Genomic DNA, 18,657 nt, shown 5'->3' with positions numbered 1-18,657 from the left:
GTAGAGACGGGGTTTCACCGTTTTAGCCGGGATGGTCTCGATCTCCTGACCTCGTGATCCGCCCGCCTCGGCCTCCCAAAGTGCTGGGATTACAGGCGTGAGCCACCGCGCCCGGCCACCTCCTCCTATTTTTAAAAGATTGCACAATAATATTTATTAGCTGTTCTTCTCTCTCTCATATGTGGAATGGGTAATGCTGATGCCTTTACAAGCCGACGCTCGTTTGTTAGACATTGTAGTGTGGAGTTTGTCAAGAATACATCTTTAATAATCTGTCCAAGGAACTGGACAGATACCAAAAAAGATATACTATGCAGAGTATATTGATTTCTGAATTTATTTCTCCCTTTCAGTTACATTACATTATAATTACCCCACACCAAGATCTGTACAGCTATGCAAGAGATGAAAAATCTACAGGTTCAGGGGAAAATGTGAGCAAAAATAGATTTTTTATCTGTTTTCTTGATAATAAAAGGGAAGATAGGAAAGATAGAGACCTAAACTCAAACCAAACCAGAACCAACCAACCCTAACCTCAGACTGTTACAGAAAAGTTACCTATTTAAAAATATTTAAAAATTGAAATAGCCTTTTAAAAAGGTTACTGCAACCATGGCGAAACTGTATAGAAGAGAATAAAAAATACCTAGGTGAAACAGTGACTAAAATACCCCAAATCTTAAAGTGTTTATCTGTAATATATTAATAAATGTTTTTATTTTATTTAACTACCTAGTTCCACCTTGTGGTGAAAGACTAGGAAAGGCCATTCAGTTTTTGCATTTTAATTGATTATAGATTGTCTACCCAAAAGCTAAAAAGAGAAGCCTTCTTTGTGAAGGAGTGAATCAGGTCCAAAGAAGTAGACACATTATTTGTACCACCTAGTACCAATGTGGATTAAAAAAAAAACTCTCTATTATTTTATCCATTAATACCTTAAGATGTGTAACTAATACCTTTATTTCATAGTTTAAAAATAACCTAAAGGAGATGAATTCTATGTGGCCTTAATGTTGACTTAACGTAGTACCTTAAAAAACCATAACCGCCTTTTTATCATGCCAAATAAGGATATTTCCCTGTTTGACTTAACTGCACCAATTTCGAATTTATAATAATTTAGGTAGAATATGAATTGTAGTTTTATTCTTTCACAACTCCTGAAGAAGTAGTACTGAAATAAATTTGTAATGAAAAAACAACTTTAGATAAGGCAGCTACCTAAGATAATACAATGTTTTTGAGCATTTTTTGTGTGTATTTTAAAAGCATTAATTTTCTTATCAATAATTAATATGTTAATATATTGATATTTATGTTACCTCTATTTTTTCAAGTAGGCTGTCTAAGGAACTCTCCCAGGAGAACCTGACAGCTAATTTTTTATGAACGTACTTGTTTGATGTAAAAAAATTGCATTGAAAAATATTTTAATTTATAATTTTCACTAAAGCAAACTATCCTTCTTCTCGTCACCCAGTTAGTATAAGCCAGTGAGGCGATCTCATTTGGGACAAGCCTTCTTTTATTATTTATGTTTCTTTCTAAAGATAGCTGATTGTTTTCCAGAATACTGTATCCTTTAGATATAGAACTTCTTTAAGAGCGGACTGTGAACCCTTTATGTGGCTGATGTTTTGCTCCCTACTGCAGAGCTCACTAGGATGCCTGCATTTTACCCAAGGTTCATTAATGGAATGACTCTTCCAGTTTCCTTTTTTTCCTGAGGGACCTTTCCTCTATTATTGTGTACAGATTGGGCTCTTGATTTTACCTGTGATTGATTTGTTTTTGCTTAAGATAATAGTTTACAGGGAAGCTTTTATATTGGTCAGAGATATTATGGCCTCATTCTGTTTAAAATTCGTAGTTTTCTTTGTGTAGGAAAAGTTCAAGCTTCTTAACCTGGGATATAAAGCCTCTATGTCCACCGGCGCATCGTTCCAGCCTCATCTTCCACCTCATGCTTCATTGACTTCACCACTGCTTTCCTTCCTTGCAACTCATATGTAGTTTTGTGTGTCCTTGCCTTTTTCCTTTGTTCTTGCTCCTCCCTCCACCTGCAACATTCCCATCTTCTTTGCTGGGAAGACCTCAGACTGGGTTAAGCTCCTCATAGCTTCCTGAGTGTTCTCTGAATGCATTTATTTTATACTGCAATTTCTTGCCTAAATTTCTTTCATTTCAGATTACAGGCTTCAAGAGGTGGCACTCTTATTATTCATCTTTGTACCCATAGAACTTAAAGGATACCCTGGCATATGACGGATGAATGCTCAATAAATAGTTTGTGACCTGAATTGAATTGCAGCTAAACAATAGTAATAAGTTTAAATAATGGGAAGTCAAATTTTTGTGAAATTTGTCTAGATTAACATCAACCACTATAATGTCAGACTTTTAAAAAAGGAAGTTTAAACATTCAGCAAGCAGTTATATAATGATTCTCTTTTCTTCAAAGTTGAATTTGATTTAGCCTATATAAAACCAAACAGTTATAGGTTAACAAAAGGAAATTTTCAGTGTAGTATTTTTGATAAGTTAAGCCATTTAGGTAATACAGACCTGGCATGAGCTAATGTGTTCTCACTCCAAAATAAATTTGAAATATTGTCCATGTCATCGCCAGCATCTTGTTTAGAATTTTTGTTGCCCATAGAGTGTTTTCTAGTCTATTTTACTTTCTTGGGATATTCTTTTAAGTAAAAGATTAGTGCCCCCTAGAGGTAAACTCTAGGTGCAATGCTATATACATATTTTTTTGAAGTACTGCAAAATTCTACGAGAATTGTGTGAAATACAGAAAATGCTGTATCAGCCTTGTTATGTAATTCAAGTTATGTAAGTTAATCCCAGAGTATTTCATAGTGCTTTTACTTTGCTCGTCACTTCCTCTAGCACTATTGATCCAGACAGTTTTTTGTCCCATAGGGAGAACATATCCAAAAAGAGAAAAAGGAATGCTTTATTAAAAACTGAAAATGGAATGTTAGGGATATTGGCGGTTAGTATAGTCATCTGTGAAGGAAAGTTACCAGGCCCAATGCCTATGACTCACTCCTAGGGTAAAATAAAAGCTTTTCTATGTAGGCTTAGCTGTCTACTTTCCCTTCTTTTCTTTCCCTTAAATTTCTTGCTCGATCAGATTGGAACCCCAATTCTTTCCCCTCAGTTCATTCCCGACCACCCTTTACCCATAATGTTGATTTTTAATTTTTAATAGCATCCTCTTTTATTCCACTCATTTGTGCTGAGGAAACTGACTCAGTATTATAAAGTACTTAGCACAAGGTTAGGCATCTAGTAGTAACTCATGGTGTGTGTGTTTTTGTTTATTATTGTTAGTGACATTTGCTTTTCGGAAAATGATATCTTATATTTTGTAGGATGTTTTCCATATACAGTATTTCTGTGGACCCTCAGAATAGTCAGCTGAGACAGGAAAAGCAGGCAGTATTGGGGATAGCCAGTGTCTTTGGATTTTTTTCAAGCATTATAGAAGTTAAATTAGTTTATTTCTGCATTTTCTTCTAAAATTCTTAAAAAATTAAGCCATAAGTCTTAAGAGTAGCTTTTATTTTATACATTTTCTAAGTTGACAGGTCATTGATTTTTTAAAATGATAATAATTTGATTTAAAGATTACAGACTTTTTGTTCTCTAGGTTGAACTAGGAGTTTTCTGTTTTCCAACCTTTATTTTAAAGATAAAAAAAACCCTGAAGCCTAGAGAGTTTAGGCTGTTGGTACAAATTCATAAGGCCAAGGGCAGAAGCAGGACTAAAATGTCTTTTCCCTTATCACAGGTTTTCTCTTTTCCTAATTTAGAGGGAGTCTCACTCTTTTGCCCAGGCTGGAGTGCAGTGGCATGATCACAGCTCACTGCCACCATGCCCAGCTAACTTTTTGTATTTTTAGTAGAGATGGGGTTTTACCATCTTAGCCAGGTTGGTCTTAAACTCCTGACCTCATGATCCACCCACCTCGGCCTCCCAAAGTGCTAGGATTACAGGCGTGAGCCACCACACCCGGCCATCTTTTCCTAGTTTAGATTTGCATGGCTTAATATTATTATTTTCCTTCTCTAAACATGTCTGTTTTAATTTTCCTTTGTTGTCACATAAATACGATAGTAGCAAATGACACCTGGTTTTGGAAAGTTTCCCTTATGTAGAGGGTTTTGTTCAGTCTGGCAAGTCAAGTTGTGAAATTGCCTTACTATGAGATAAGTGTTCAGAATCATACCCCATCTTTAACTGTCCTGGAGTGAGAAAGACACAAGAAGTGGAATATAGAGTGAAATGTAAGTCTGGTAGGGTGTAGGCATAGTGGACCAGAGAGCACAGAATTCTCAGCACTATTACAATCCTGGAAGTCCCCAAAGTAATCATGTGCTTGGATTCTACTGTCCTTCTGTGTACTGAGGATATCAGACCTGCACAATAAAGCCATTTATTTTGAGAGACAAAGCAGCTGGCTGAGGATCAGGAGCTGTATAATATTGTTTATATAAATATAATCTTTTAGTGTTCCCATTCAGGCTCTTTTAGAGTTTGGCTGCTTTCTGGTTATATTGAAGATACGCAGAGAAGTACATAGATTTAGAATGTACATGACATTCACAAGCTTAGCTTTTCTGCCTTGTTTTTAAGTAGGCCTTAGCCTTATAAATTCAAGCTTGTGCCTTAGAACGGGACTGGGTGAATTCTTACAGTGCTCTAATACAAGAGTCCCCAACCCCCAGGCCACAGACAGGTACTGGTCCGGTCCATGGCCTGTTAGGAAGTGGCCTGCACAGTAGGAGGCGAGCATTGGGCCAGCCAGCCTTACCACCTGAGCTCTGCCTCCTGTCAGATCAGTGATGGCGTTAGATTCTCATAGGAGCATGAAACCTATTGTTTTGTTTGTTTGTTTTTTGAGACAGAATCTCACTCTGTTGCCCAGGCTAGAGTGCAGTGGCATGATCTCGGCTCACTGCAACCTCCGCCTCTTGGGTTCGAGTGATTCTCCTGCCTCAGCGTCCCAAGTAGCTGGGATTACAGGCATACGCCACATTGCCCGGCTAATTTTTTTTTGTTATTTTTAGTAGAGATGGGTTTTGCCATGTTGGCCAGGCTGGTCTCGAACTCCTGACCTCAAGTGATCCGCCCACCTTGGCCTCCAAAGTGCTGGGGATTACAGGTATGAGCCACCACATGGCTGTGAACCCTATTGTGAACTGTGCATGTGAGGGATCTAGGTTGTGCTCTCTTTATGAGAATCCAATGCCTGATGATCTGAGGTGGAACAGTTTCATCCCAAAACCACCCTCCCCTGCATCTGTGGAAAAACTGTCTCCCATGAAACCAGTCCATGAGTAGGAAATTGCAGTATTAGTACTCATTTCCCTAAGTGCTTATCTGTTCGCGTACATATCATGCATGTAATAGATATGTTCCTGAAGAGGCCCTTGAAAATTGATTCATCTCTGAAATACAGTTGAGAAGTTGAGAGAGTTGTCATTTCATGGTATCTCAAGGTAAATATTCTAATTGAATGGATAACTCCTTTGTAACTTATTTGGTTATTTACAGGTTTTTCTTTCTTTCTTTCTTTCTTTTTTTTTTTTGAGACGGAGTCTCGCTCTGTCACCCAGGCTGGAGTGCAATGGCTTGATCTCGGCCCACTGCAACCTCCGCCTCCTGAGTTCAAGTGATTCTCCTGTCTCAGCCTCCCAAGTAGCTGGGATTACAGGCACCTGCCACCATGCACGGCTAATTTTTGTATTTTTAGTTGAGATGGGGTTTCACCACGTTGGCCAGGCTGGTCTCGAACTCCTGACCTCAGGTGATTGATCCACTTGCCTTGGCCTCCCAAAGTGCTGGAAGTACAGGTGTGAGCCACTGAGCATGGCGTATTTACAGGTTTTTCTAAACAAGGATTGCTCAAAATGTGTTATAACATTTTTTGGGGCTAAATAAAGTATTTTTAAACTTTGTCTTACTTTGGTATTATGACATCAGAGATTCAACTGATATTCCTTGGGAATTAGGAAATCAAAATAAAATGTCAATTTGTAAAGATGGAGACTTGGTTAAAAGTAATTTGATTCACCTTCAGTTTTGCTGTATTTCAAAGGTACTATTGACATGAACAGTTACTTTGTGGTAGAGCTATTGAGCCTAAGCTTAGTATTTATATTATTTGTAGTTAATTATGCCTAGATGGGTAATTGAATATTAAAAGGTTCTGTGACTTATGTAAACAGTGCCAGAACACTGGATGTAAAAGCTGGTAAATTTGATAAGAAATTCCTAAGGGAACTTCTTCTTCATCAATCAAAAACATTTTCTGACACTAACAAAAGATATTGTAAAACATATATATAGAGAGAGTCAACTAAGATAATAAAGTTTTATGGGATTTAAACTATTTTTGGGGACTGAGAGACTTACCATAAAAGTTTGCTTCCAGTTTACATTAGGCCTCTTCTTTGTGTTTGTGTAGTTATATAGTTTTGATTATAAGTTTAGATCTTTTCATTATTTTGTGCTATATACTCACTTGACATTTTGGAAGTGCAAAGGAGTTGGATTCATTTGTATACAGGGCTTGTGCCATGGGTGAAGTAGGTGGGATTCTGGTTCCTGCCTCTTTCCTGCCCACTTCTTTGGCTCCTTTCATGGGAGTAGCCCAGAATCACTGAAAGGCGAGAAAATGGAAATGTGCCAGTCCACTGTGGAACAGCCATCTTAATACCTGCTTTGACATTTGTCTGTCCAACACAAACCTTGCAGTGGGCCATGTGGTTACTAGAGCTATCCCTACTTGGCAGGCTAAACAAAGCTTTTGGGAAATCTTTGATGGTTTGGGTTCTAAAATCACAGACTTCTAAATCAGGCCTGTGGAACGGGGAAAGCTATTGTAGGTTGAGTGTTGATTTTGTGCTAGTGTTATTTAGTTTTGAAAATCTTCCGTTATAAGAAGACTTACATTGTGCAGAGGAAGGGTTTGGACAGAGGACTTCTAACCTGACACATACGGATTTCAAAAAATTTTTTTGAAATAATTATAGGCTCATAAGATATTGATAAAATAATATGTAGAGTCTCATACTCTTCACCCAGCTCACGTCTATGGATTTCTAAAAATGTTCCTCGGCATCCTTGAACCTGTTTTAGGCTAGAAGTAGAAGATCAACTGCGGGGGTGAAAACTCCACCCTCTTGTTAAGGTGGCACTGGTCACTGTATCGGGAATCATGAATAAAGTCAGGGCATTGTCCGTATTTGAAGAATTGTAACCCCATGTAGTAGTCCAGGCTTATGTTTGTTCTGGTGTCTTAAAAATGTAATAATTTGAATTGTCTTCTTGAATTATTAATCTGAAATTCACTTTTTTAAGTTTTTAAATTAAATTTAGTTTTTAAGTAATAAGCATTTTAAAAATTTAAAAATAGGTGCATGAATGAATACCATGTGAGGAATGTTTTCTACTTGTCTCCTTTTTATGTTTAAGAATGTTAAGGATAATTCTGAGTTCTAGGACCCCAAATTTTGCTTTTCTCTTTATAGGTTCGAAAACATGTGAATGATCTCTATGAAGACTTAAGGGATGGACACAATTTGATTTCTCTTTTAGAGGTTCTTTCAGGAGATACCTTGGTAAGTTTTAACTTTCTTATTTTATTTTGAAGAACGTGTAATCTTTTCTGCATAGGACCAGTATGTTTTCAGTACAGACTATTCAGATTTTTGCAACATTCATCTTTTGAGCTATGAATTCTGCCTGAAAAAGAAGTTTTGGTTAGATTCCTAAGCATTTTCAAACTTCAAATGATGTGAATTTGAGAGATTGAAGCACTTTGATTACTTCACTTATATAATCAGTTCTATAATTAAAATACTATTTTTGTTCTTGCTTCTTTTTTACCTTTGGGTTTTTTTGCTTAGCAGAAGTTGGATGCATAATATAACCACATATTAAAAGACTTACAAATAGCAAGAAAATAAACATTGCTTTCTGAAAAATGATCTAACCCATTCCGCAGGTGTCATTTTTTTTTTTTTTTTGGTGAACATTACTTCCCCTTCTTGTTACCTGTTCTCCTTCATTATGTTCTGTTCATGCTCTTCTTTTCATTTCTGGTCTGTCTTGTGTCTTTGCTGTCCTATCTTCTGTCTGTTATATTCATTAGCCAAGGGAGCGAGATTTTTTGAAGACCTTACGATTGGTGAGTGCAACAGAAGCATGCGAATATGAACAGCATGAGGATGTGGAGGATGAGGATAAGGGGGTAGGTGTCGCCCCCATAACTTGACTAACCTAGCCGTTCCCATGCGGTGAGCGCTAACCTGATAGAGAAGTAACTCCTGGGTTCAGGCTCCTTTTTAGAAAAGCATAGAAAGGGCCAAAACCCACATTGAGGTAGATGTGTGTGTACCAAAAAATTGGATAAAGGAAATATTTTCTCTTTAAATTATCTTCAGAGAGCTAAAATGATTGAATTATTTATACATTACTGTGCACTGCATGGTAATTAAACAGACTTAAAGTACATGATGGCATTTTAGTTAAACAATTTTATATACATTGTATATAAACATGGAAATTTTACAAGTCTGCTAATTTTTGTGCAAATTCATTCAGTTTCTGGAAGTGATATTTCAAACATAGCAACTATTTATTGCTTTTTATGAAAGAACTTAGGGAAATTTTTTTTAGTATTTAAGTTTCTGCTTTAAACCACACCTCTTGGCAATAGGTATTTGATGGACATGTTTTACCTCTCTAATATATCACATGTATTTAAAAGGGAGATTTAAAAATCCAGTATTCCAACAGAACTCACAGAGCTGTTTAATCTCCGTGACTCTTAGTTGACTGCAGCCTACCTTTGCAAGACAGACGTGCTTCTTCTTTTGTCTTCTACATACCTAGTGCCCCTTGATTTTACTGGAAATTGTGCTTTTGTTGGATCCAGTGGGTAAATTTATCAACATCGTTTCTACTTGTTATGCAGAGCTTACTTTTCCTTCTGTGGTGTGCTGTCTGTTTTCTTATGGCACCTTTGGCTTCAGCAACCTATACATATTGAAGAAGCCAAGCTGTCAATTGTCTTTTTTCTTTTTTACCTTTGGAAGATTTTATGTGATAAATTTCAGCTCCATTTTTTGTATTTTTGCTAAGCATTTCTCAGCTCTGTTTCCTCTGTTTCCTTCATGCTAACTTGTAACATTTCTTAAGGGAAATGGCATTAAGGAAAATAATTCTCATCTGTCACTTTTCCTGAGACTGAGAAAATAATTGTTTCCATCCCCAAGTAGTATAAAACGAGTATAGAGTCCTTTCTAATTATCGTAGTGTCCACTTTTGTGAAAAAGCTAAAATAAAGAGGAAATATATGGTTTTAATTGGTTTTCTCTCTTTCTCTATCATGGCTAAGTAAACCTTCTCTGTCTTTCTCCTTCTTGGTGATTTTTATACTAACTGCATGCTACTTTATCTCATTTTCATTAATATGCCATATGTATATATATATGTGTGTGTGTGTGTGTGTGTGTATATACAGTTATAAAAACCCTCTTGCTAATAGTGTTCAATAAGAAGGTAAAATGATGAATGATATTTAATTATTTTTGTGCCTCCATAGCTAAATAATTGTAGGCTAGCGTTGTTTTATTACCAAATATTAAGTGTCTGTATATTCTGTAACATCTTCTCTTTTCCTTTTGTTTAAACAAAAAATTTGTCATAAAGTATATGTTTAAATAAAACATACTTGGAAAAAAATCCCTAGTAGTTTACATTCAATCTCAGACAATATAAAGAAATTGAAACCTTCTTAGAAAATCTTATGGCCTTACCTAAACGGTAAATACTGTTTTGATATATTAAGATGAACAGAAATTATATTTAAATTAGCATGGTCTGTGATAACAGAAACTCTTTTTCATACCTGCATTTTTCTGTTCTTAGCCCAGAGAAAAAGGTCGGATGCGTTTTCACAGACTACAGAATGTACAAATTGCACTTGACTATTTGAAAAGACGCCAGGTATGATGTTTTGAAAATACTGTAATCATATAAATATATGTTACTAATACATCCACGTAGAAACATGTCAAGGAATGACAAGGTTAAATTTGCCTGTGAATTGTAACCAGTAAGCTTGTGCTTTGGTGAAGCAAATATTTAAAAATGTTTTTAAACATTTGCTCCCAAGAAAAGAAGTTAATAGTAGGGATAAGCCCAGAGGAATTATAAGTGACTACATTTCCATCTATGTAAGAACTTGTGATTTTCTTTCTGTTTGAATTGGATTGCATTTGCCTAGGAAGTTAATGACATTTTAGTAGCAATAGAATGTTAAGAATGCCTATGAACAGTTCTTAATTGTGGGGAAGCAATACTTCATTTTTTACACTTAGTATATAAAAATAGTTAATTTTTATAAAAATACTTTATATAATACTTTTAATTTAGTATAAGCATTTTTCATAGTAGGGATAAGGAAATCTTTTGTTTTTATAAGTAGATAATATTGGAAAATTTATGAGTAAAGATATAACAACATTTCTGACAATAGCCCCCAACTTGCTTGAGGTATCAGGAGAAATCATGGAAAAGAATTAATATATTGGATATGATCTTGACTTGGTGGCATTACGTCATAGGCCAAAATATTAGTAATTTTTCAATTAGTACAAAAAAATGCAGGAGAGTTCAAAATTATTGAAGACAGTGAGAGTCAGAGGGGGCAGCAATTTTTTTTTTAAATAGTTTGAAAAAAAGGAAGAGGCTGGGTGTGGTGGCTCATGCCAGTAATCTCAGCACTTTGGGAGGCTGAGGCGGGAGGGTCACTTGAGCCCAGGAAATTGAGGATGTGTTGAGCCATGATTGCAATATTGCACTCCAGCCGGGGTAACAGAATGAGACCCTGTCTCAAAAAAAAAAAAAAAAGGCAAGAGAAAAAGGGGGAGAGGGAGAGGTAAACACTAGCTTTTATTATTTCTTCATTATTATTCTTAAATATTATGAACATTAAAATGCTTTTCCCTATTAAATACTAGTAAATCCTCAGTGCTTAAATATTTTAAATGTTATTGTTGTTTGCTTATTATTCATCATTCTAGTGAAAGTTTCCAGATGGATACTTCTGAAATGTTTTCTGGCAGCATTTTGTCCAAGAAGTAAAATGTTAAATATCATAGTATATAATTCTCAGTATTTAAATTCATGATATTAAATGATTTTGTCCAGGAAGTAAATGTTAGGGATCATCATTTGATTTATTTACCTGAATGTACAGTTTGACAGTTGATAAGCTTTAAGTCTGAGTATTATATTATTTTAAAATATTTGAACAGCCTTCCAAATGCCCAGTGACTTATATATTTATGGCACATTGATAGCAAAATAATGCTAGTTATTTTAAAACCTTGTAATGGAAATTTGAGAAAATTGTTAGAATTGTTAGGATAGTTTCATACTTAATGGTAAAAGTAAAATAAAATTTATTTTTAAAAGACAAAATTTTTTCTAATTTTAAGATCTCAAATATTTAGGACTTCTCACTTGAGGAGTTGTATTTTTGTATTGACAAGTGAATGCTTTTAGTACTTGCTCTAGAACAGCAGTCCCCAACCTTTCTGGCAACAGGGACTGGTTTCATGGAAGACTATTTTTCCATGAACTGGCTGGTGGGAGGAGTGGGGGTTGTTTCAGCATGAAACTGTTTCACCTCGGATCATCAGGCATTAGATTTTTATAAGGAGTGCGTGCGCAACCTAGATCCCTCAAATGCACAGTTCACAAATAGGGTTCACACCCCTATAGGAATCTAATGCAGTGGCTGATCTGACAGGAGGTGGAGCTCAGGTGGTAATGCTTCCTGGGCCGCTGCTAACCTGCTGCCATGCAGCCCAGTCCCTATGGTATAGGTTTGGGGGTTAGGTTGGGGATCCCTGCTGTGGAAGACAAGAATGCAATAATACTTGCTCTTTCTTTGTTGTTACCATATGATTTGTAATATAAAATGATTGAGAATAAGGGTAAAACAATATTTAGTTGACTACTGGTGTTTAAATTATTCCATTTTTTCTTTGTATAATTTTAGAATTGCTTTTATGTAGGTAAAGATAACTGGTTCAGGTTTGATAAACAGTTGGTTTTATCTCTTCTTCACATTCAAAACAGGTGAAATTAGTGAATATTAGAAATGATGACATAACAGATGGAAATCCCAAATTGACTTTGGGATTAATCTGGACAATAATTTTGCACTTTCAGGTAAGCCCAAATTTTCTTAATTTCAGCATCTAATTGCTAGTTTTCAGGTGGTTCCTATGAAGGGTGAATGATGCATTCATGTTCTATGGAAGAAAAATAAATTTCAAGCTTCTTTCTTTAAGTAATATATTTGAATTGTTCTTTTAAGCAACATGCTGCTTGTGAATCTGGCAACTAGTTTCCTGTTCTTGATAAACTTAAATGTAGTTTTAAAGACAATGTCTGTTATCTCAGAGTTGGAAGACATATTTCTTTTTATTGACTGGAGACACACTTTTTTTGCTCATTAGAAAGTATTACCTGTTTTAGATACTTAAATGTTTTATGATTAGTCCTTATTTAGAATGTTTTTTAGTAATACAGGTTCTTAGCACTGTCAACTATTTCCTCCTTTGATAGACACTAGATGGCAGCATAATTATAAAGAGATGTGAAGAAGAAAAGTATTCATGTTTTATGCAGAGCTGTGCTTTCTCTCTTTAGATTTGAGGAAAATGCAAATTTATTGACTGAATTATTATCTAATAAACCTGAGCCAATTGAGGACCGATTTTGATTTAGTTTTGGGGAAGTGATACATTAAAAAGAATCTTCATTTGATTTAAGGAGATTCCTAACTTTAGAACTTGCTTTAGTTTACTAACTGCTGGTCTGCTTAAGAAATGTTCTGCTACTAGAGGTGGGAAGGAGGGGGAAAAGGGCATGGGCTGAAAAACTACCTATTGGGTACTGTGCTCACTATCTGGGTGATGGGATCATCTGTACCCCAAACCTCAACATCACGCAATATACCCATGTAACAAATCCGCACTTGTACCCCCTGAATCTAAAATAAAAGTTTAAATTATAAAAAAGACCCAGAAATGTTCTGTGTGCAGCACAGAGCCTGACCCACAGTAGGCACTCAGTACATCTTACCAATAGATTACTGTACAGTTGGATCTTGAAGGAGGAAGTGATCCTTTGCCAGCTTCAAAAAGGACCTGGGGTTTTGAAACAAATCTGGTGAGGAATAAGACTTTTTTAAAGGCTGGGCGCGGTGGCTCACGCCTGTAATCCCAACACTTTGGGAGGCTGAGGCGAGTGGATCATGAGGTCAGGAGATCAAGACCATCCTAGCTAACGGGTGAAACCCCGTCTCTACTAAGAAATACAAAAAATTAGCCAGGTGTGGTGGCATGCACCTGTAGTCCCAGCTACTCGGGAGGCTGAGGTGGGAGAATCGCTTGAACCTGGGAGGCAGAGGTTGCAGTGAGCTGAGATTGCGCCACTGCACTCCAGCCTGGGCAACAGAGCGAGACTCTGTCTCAAAAAAAAAAAAAATTTTTTTTTTTTAAGTTGGCTGAAATACAGGTTACGTAGACAAATGGTGGAGAATAATGTACCTGGGGGGCTTGTTGGGAACAGGATAGATTTGACAGGTATGGAGAGCTACAGGAATCAGAGTCTAGGTAGGTCTAGGACCTGAACAGAGGCAGCTGAATAGTTTCAGCAGAAGGACATTCATGGAGATCCAGGTAATCAAAGGAAAAGGTGTTAGTCAGCCAGACTACAGGGCAGCTAATACAGGTGAATATCCACTTAGCTGAGCTGTTAATGTCAGGGAGAGCCAGTAACCAGAACTGGAAGCCAGGACCCCAAAGGACTGAGGGCATTACTGGAATCAAAGATATTGAACCTAAGTGAAGGCAATAATTTGGCATGAAGCGCAGAACCAGACCTTGTTATCAGAATTGGGTAAAGTCTAGGTAGAACTGGCCAAAAAGTTGATTTCATATGGAGTTCCTCAGTGGCTTTGTCAGGGATCATTTAAGTAGTCCTAAGTGGATCAGATCCTAGAGCTTTTAGCAGAGTTGAAACTGCAAGAACCCCAGACGGGAAAGTCAGAGGTCTATTGGAGAGAATCAATCACTTCATCACCAGCTGGTGAGGTAGGCTGTGTCTGAATTTTGAATGTTAGACGAAGGATCACTGGGGCAATGGAAAGCATTCAGGCTTCGGAGGGAGGTAGAATTAAGTTTCGTTCTTGGCTCTTTTACTTACTGTTGTGATGCCAGTCATGTTACTACTTTGAGCTTAAAAAAAAATGTGTTTCTGTTCATCACTTTCCTTTTTCCGTCCATCACTTTCCATTTTCTGTCCATAAATCTTTTTCGGTGACAGGACCTGTGCTGGAGTCTCTCTGAATCCATTCTGGTTTGGGGGCTGCCTGATTCTCAAATCGTTTTTTGCTCAATTAAATTTTGCTAAATTTTAAAAAATGTGTTTTAGGAAACAACATCCATTAAAATAGATAGAAATGAGCAGAGTCCATAGTGAGAGAGATAAGCTGTGAAGCTGAGGTAGTGATAAAGGTCAGGACTCAGTTGGGGATGCAAAATTGAATAGAAGAGGTCACACTTTCCAGGAAGAAAGAAAGGGACTTGGACACAGGGCATAGAGGGTGTAGGAAAGGGATTTGTTAAAGATAACAAAACTTTTTAGCCTGAGAGATTACGAAACAGTAGACTACTGAGAGACACAGGGGTGATGCTAGGGGGAAAAGCACTTACTTTCTGGGTGGGCTTGATGGGATGGTGGGATATCCTGTGCCTCTGTCTGCTGAGCAGTTGGAGACATGAGTGGAGCTGAGAAGCCAGAGGTACAGATATAAACTTGGAGAAGTTATCACTACACAAGTGATCACTGATTTTATCGGAAAGAAGGGATCTTCAGGGGACCCAAGAGAAGAGCACAGATGGAGAAGAGATGGAGCACTAAGGATAAAAATTTGGAGAAGGCCTGCGGGAAAAGATTCTGCTGAGGAAAGAGAAAAAAGGAGCATTTGGAGAGATGGATGAAGTAATAGGAAAATGTACTGATGAAACCAAGGGAAGAGAATTTCAAGTAGAAATAATGGTGAGCAGTATGAAATGCCACTAGAGACCACAAGAAAATTAAGATGGAGTAGAGGTCAATAGTTTGTTCTAGAAAGAAGACATTGGAGACCCAAGCTCCTGGGAGCAGAGACTAGAAAATAACAAGCCAAAAGGGTTGGGAGGTAGAAGCAGTGTATTTAGAGGCTGAGTTTGAGAAAATTTAAAGCAAAAGTCTTCAAAAAGGAGTTATATACTAAGAGAGCCCTTTGGGGTTCAGCTGCCTTTGGAGGAGAGAGGAAGACTAGTCACAGAAGTATCAAAAGAAGTTTTGCGGGCCGTGCACGGTGGCTCACACCTGTAATCCCAGCACTTTGGGAGGCCGAGGCAGGTGGATCACCTGAGGTTGGGAGTTCAAGACCAGCCTGACCAACATGGAGAAACCTGGTCTCTACTGAAAATACAAAATTCGCCGGGCGTTGTGGCACATGCCTGTAATTCCAACCACTTGGGAGGCTGAGGCAGGAGAATCACTTGAACCCAGGAGGCAGAGGTTGTGGTGAGCTGAGATCACGCCATTGCACTCCAGTCTGGGCAACAGGAGTGAAACTCTGTCTCAAAAAAATAAAAAAAGTTTTGCTTCTAATATACTGTGGCATAGTGTTCTAGAATCCATTGTATTTTAGGGCTTTAATTATAAGATGATGTAACAAATTATCACCAATATTCATAAATTAGACCAAAATCTATTTGGAATGGAACACATCTATGTTTTGGTTAAATGGAAATGTTCTCTCTTATTTAAATGAAATAACTTTTTTTAGTATGACAATAACTTGAGATAAGAATTGTTTTTTGGTTATGCCAAGATATAAAGATTTATAGCAGTGGTAATCATCCTCACTCAGAGTGACTCAGCCTTTTTCTCTATACTTTACATAAATAATGGAAGCAATTTCAAAAGACCAATTGTTTTATTTTAACAATATTTGTTATAGCATCATAAATGGAATCTGTTTTTCAGTCAGGCTTTCTGAAGGTAAGCATTATCATTACAGTAATCCTATATCATTAGCCACCACATGCTAGATCCAGAGATACTAAGGTAATGAAGTATATTGTTCTGTTTATTGGGAGAGTGTCCATGAAATTAACTATAACATAGGGTGATGAATATTATTGGTGATATAAATGAAAATAGAAATGTATGGGAAAGGAGCATTGTAGTGGGATCTGAATGGCTTTAGAGAATGTAGGAAATTTTCACAGATACTAGAGATAGGCTTTGAAAGATGAATGCCAGTAACCAGGCAGACTAAGTTGGGCCATTTCTGGGAGAGGTAGCAGTGTATATGGCCTAGAAATGGACAGCTGCTTAGTTTGGCAGGTGTATTAGTTCATTTTGTGTTGCTGTAAAGGCATACCTGAGGCTGAGTAGTTTATAAAGAACAGAAAAGAGGTTTATTTGGATCATCATGGTTCTGCAGGCTGTATAAGAGACATAGTCCTGGCATCTGCTTCTGGTAAGGTCTCAGAAAATTTTTCAGTCATGGTGGAAGGCAAAGGGGAAGCAGGATTGTCACATGGTAAGAGAGAGAGAGAAGGAGGAGGAGGGGTAGGAGGTACCAGGCTGTTTCAAACAACTAACTCTTTTTTTTTTTTTTTTTTTTTGAGAGGGAGTCTCGCTCTGTCGCCCAGACTGGAGTGCAGCGGTGCAATCTTGGCTCACTGCAACCTCCACCTCCTGGGTTCAAGTGACTCTCCTGTCTCAGCCTCCCAAGTAGCTGGGATTATGGGCACGCATCACCACATCTGGCTAATTTTTCTATTTTTATTAGAGGCAGGGTTTTACCATGTTGGCCAGGCTGGTCTTGAACTTCTGACCTCAGGTGATCCACCTGCCTCGGCCTCCCAAAGTGCTGGGATTACAGGCATGAACTGCCGTTGCTGGCCTCAAACAACTAACTCTTAAGTGGGTAAGAACTCATTACTGTGGGGATGGCCGAAAGCCGTTCATGAGGGAGCCGCCCCTGTGACCCAGACACCCCCCACTAGGCCCATCTCCAACATTGGGAGTCACATTTTCAACATGGAATTTGGAGGGGACAAATATCTAAACTTCATCAGCAGAGATGGAGGGAAGGATTGGGGGAGTGCAGATCACTGGTTGCCCCTCCATCATGTTAGTACAAATATCAGCCATTATACATTTATAGTCTCTTGAATAATGTACCACTCATTACCTTTGAATACACTGAAAATCAAGTTAAAAACAAAAAAAAATCTGGGACCTTATTTTTACCAGCTTCTCTTCTGGGATGTTCAGTTTTTGCTACCGGAGAATGTTTTTAAATGATTAAGGAAAATTTTACAATGCAGGATCTGTTATTGACAAACATCTACAGTATCATTGCTAACTTGACTAACTGAGTATTCTTACTTAGTAAAATATAATGAGTTCCATCTTTTGATCAGTCTAAAGACTACCTAGTGAAAGGCAATTATTAATTTTTTTAGTAGTGAAATGATTTGTACTTATGTGTAAATCCATTTCATGCTATTCTAATTTTTTTTTTTTTTTACCATATCTATGACTCAGTGTTAGAAATATGCACACCTTAGATAATCAAGTCTCATACTGATTCATTATTTTTCCAGCAAGGCCCTCATAAAAACTGTATAATATTTAACTAGGGTATGATTATAAAAGTTACATATAAAGTTTAACTACATATATATATATGTATATATATATATATGAATGCACATATATTTCCTTTTGCTAAATCTTTCATGCTTTAAATTATATAATTTATCTATTTGGTATCACATTAAAGTCCTAATAATTAGATAAGGTCATGGCTTGGAAATTTATATTATTTGAAAAGTATTATAAACTATTTTAAAAGATTGATTTTTTTTAGAAACAATTTTATTAGAGAATTATAAGCATTTAGCACTTATCTCTCCTGCTAGCTATTGAATCAGCTTATTATTTTTTATGACTTGTTTTGAATAAGAGTCTTAATAAAATTTACAGAGATCTTTGAGCTTTTGATGTGTTTGTGTGCAAGTACCAAAATTAGTTGGTATTTCTTAAGAAAAAAAAATATATGGTAGAGGGTAGAGAGTCTCTGAAATTCAATTTGAAAGGCACTTTGAATCCAAATTTGAAGGGCACTTTCCTAAATCTCTCCTGACTGGTGTTTGCTTTCTTTTTGCTCTCATTCGTTGAACCACCAAATAGTTTCAAAGGTTAAGTGCAAACTTCATTAGTGTATCTGCATTTCAGAAAACCGAAGGTTAAAAACAGTCATAATCTTCTCATACAGTGAAGCTAAGGGTTTGCCTTGAGAGCTCATCAGTGTTGTAATTTGACAGTGAGCAGTAATGTTTGTCTAAGAGGATTGGTGGCCAGAAATAAGCCACAGTGTCTAATGAGACACGGACCGGCTGGGCAGGATGCCACGGCATTTCTTGTGTGTGCCTTTCTCATAAGCAAAATGGCCTCAGACTGAAGAGGATGGT

The 18,657-nt window shown here is 37.0% G+C and overlaps 1 protein-coding gene across 9 annotated transcripts in view; it reads left to right on the top strand.

Moving 5' to 3' along the window:
- DST (dystonin) overlaps positions 1-18,657 on the top strand; it is a 496,835-nt gene that overhangs the window by 242,904 nt on the left and 235,274 nt on the right. For 6 of the 9 annotated variants that reach the window (NM_001144769.5, NM_001144770.2, NM_001374730.1 and 3 more), the window contains 3 exons: positions 7,558-7,647; positions 9,962-10,039; positions 12,182-12,274. In NM_001144769.5, coding sequence (NP_001138241.1) covers positions 7,558-7,647; positions 9,962-10,039; positions 12,182-12,274 — 261 coding nt within the window. Of the gene's footprint in view, positions 1-7,557; positions 7,648-8,180; positions 8,280-9,961; positions 10,040-12,181; positions 12,275-18,657 lie in introns of all 9 variants that reach the window. The other 3 variants (NM_001374722.1, NM_001374736.1, NM_001374734.1) reach the window with 1 other exon arrangement.

Source organism: Homo sapiens, chromosome 6 (genome assembly GCF_000001405.40).
Source record: "Homo sapiens chromosome 6, GRCh38.p14 Primary Assembly".
In the NCBI taxonomy this organism is placed as follows: domain Eukaryota; kingdom Metazoa; phylum Chordata; class Mammalia; order Primates; family Hominidae; genus Homo; species Homo sapiens.
The sequence above is the reverse complement of the archived record's forward strand: the minus strand, read 5'-3'. Positions and strand labels throughout refer to the sequence as shown.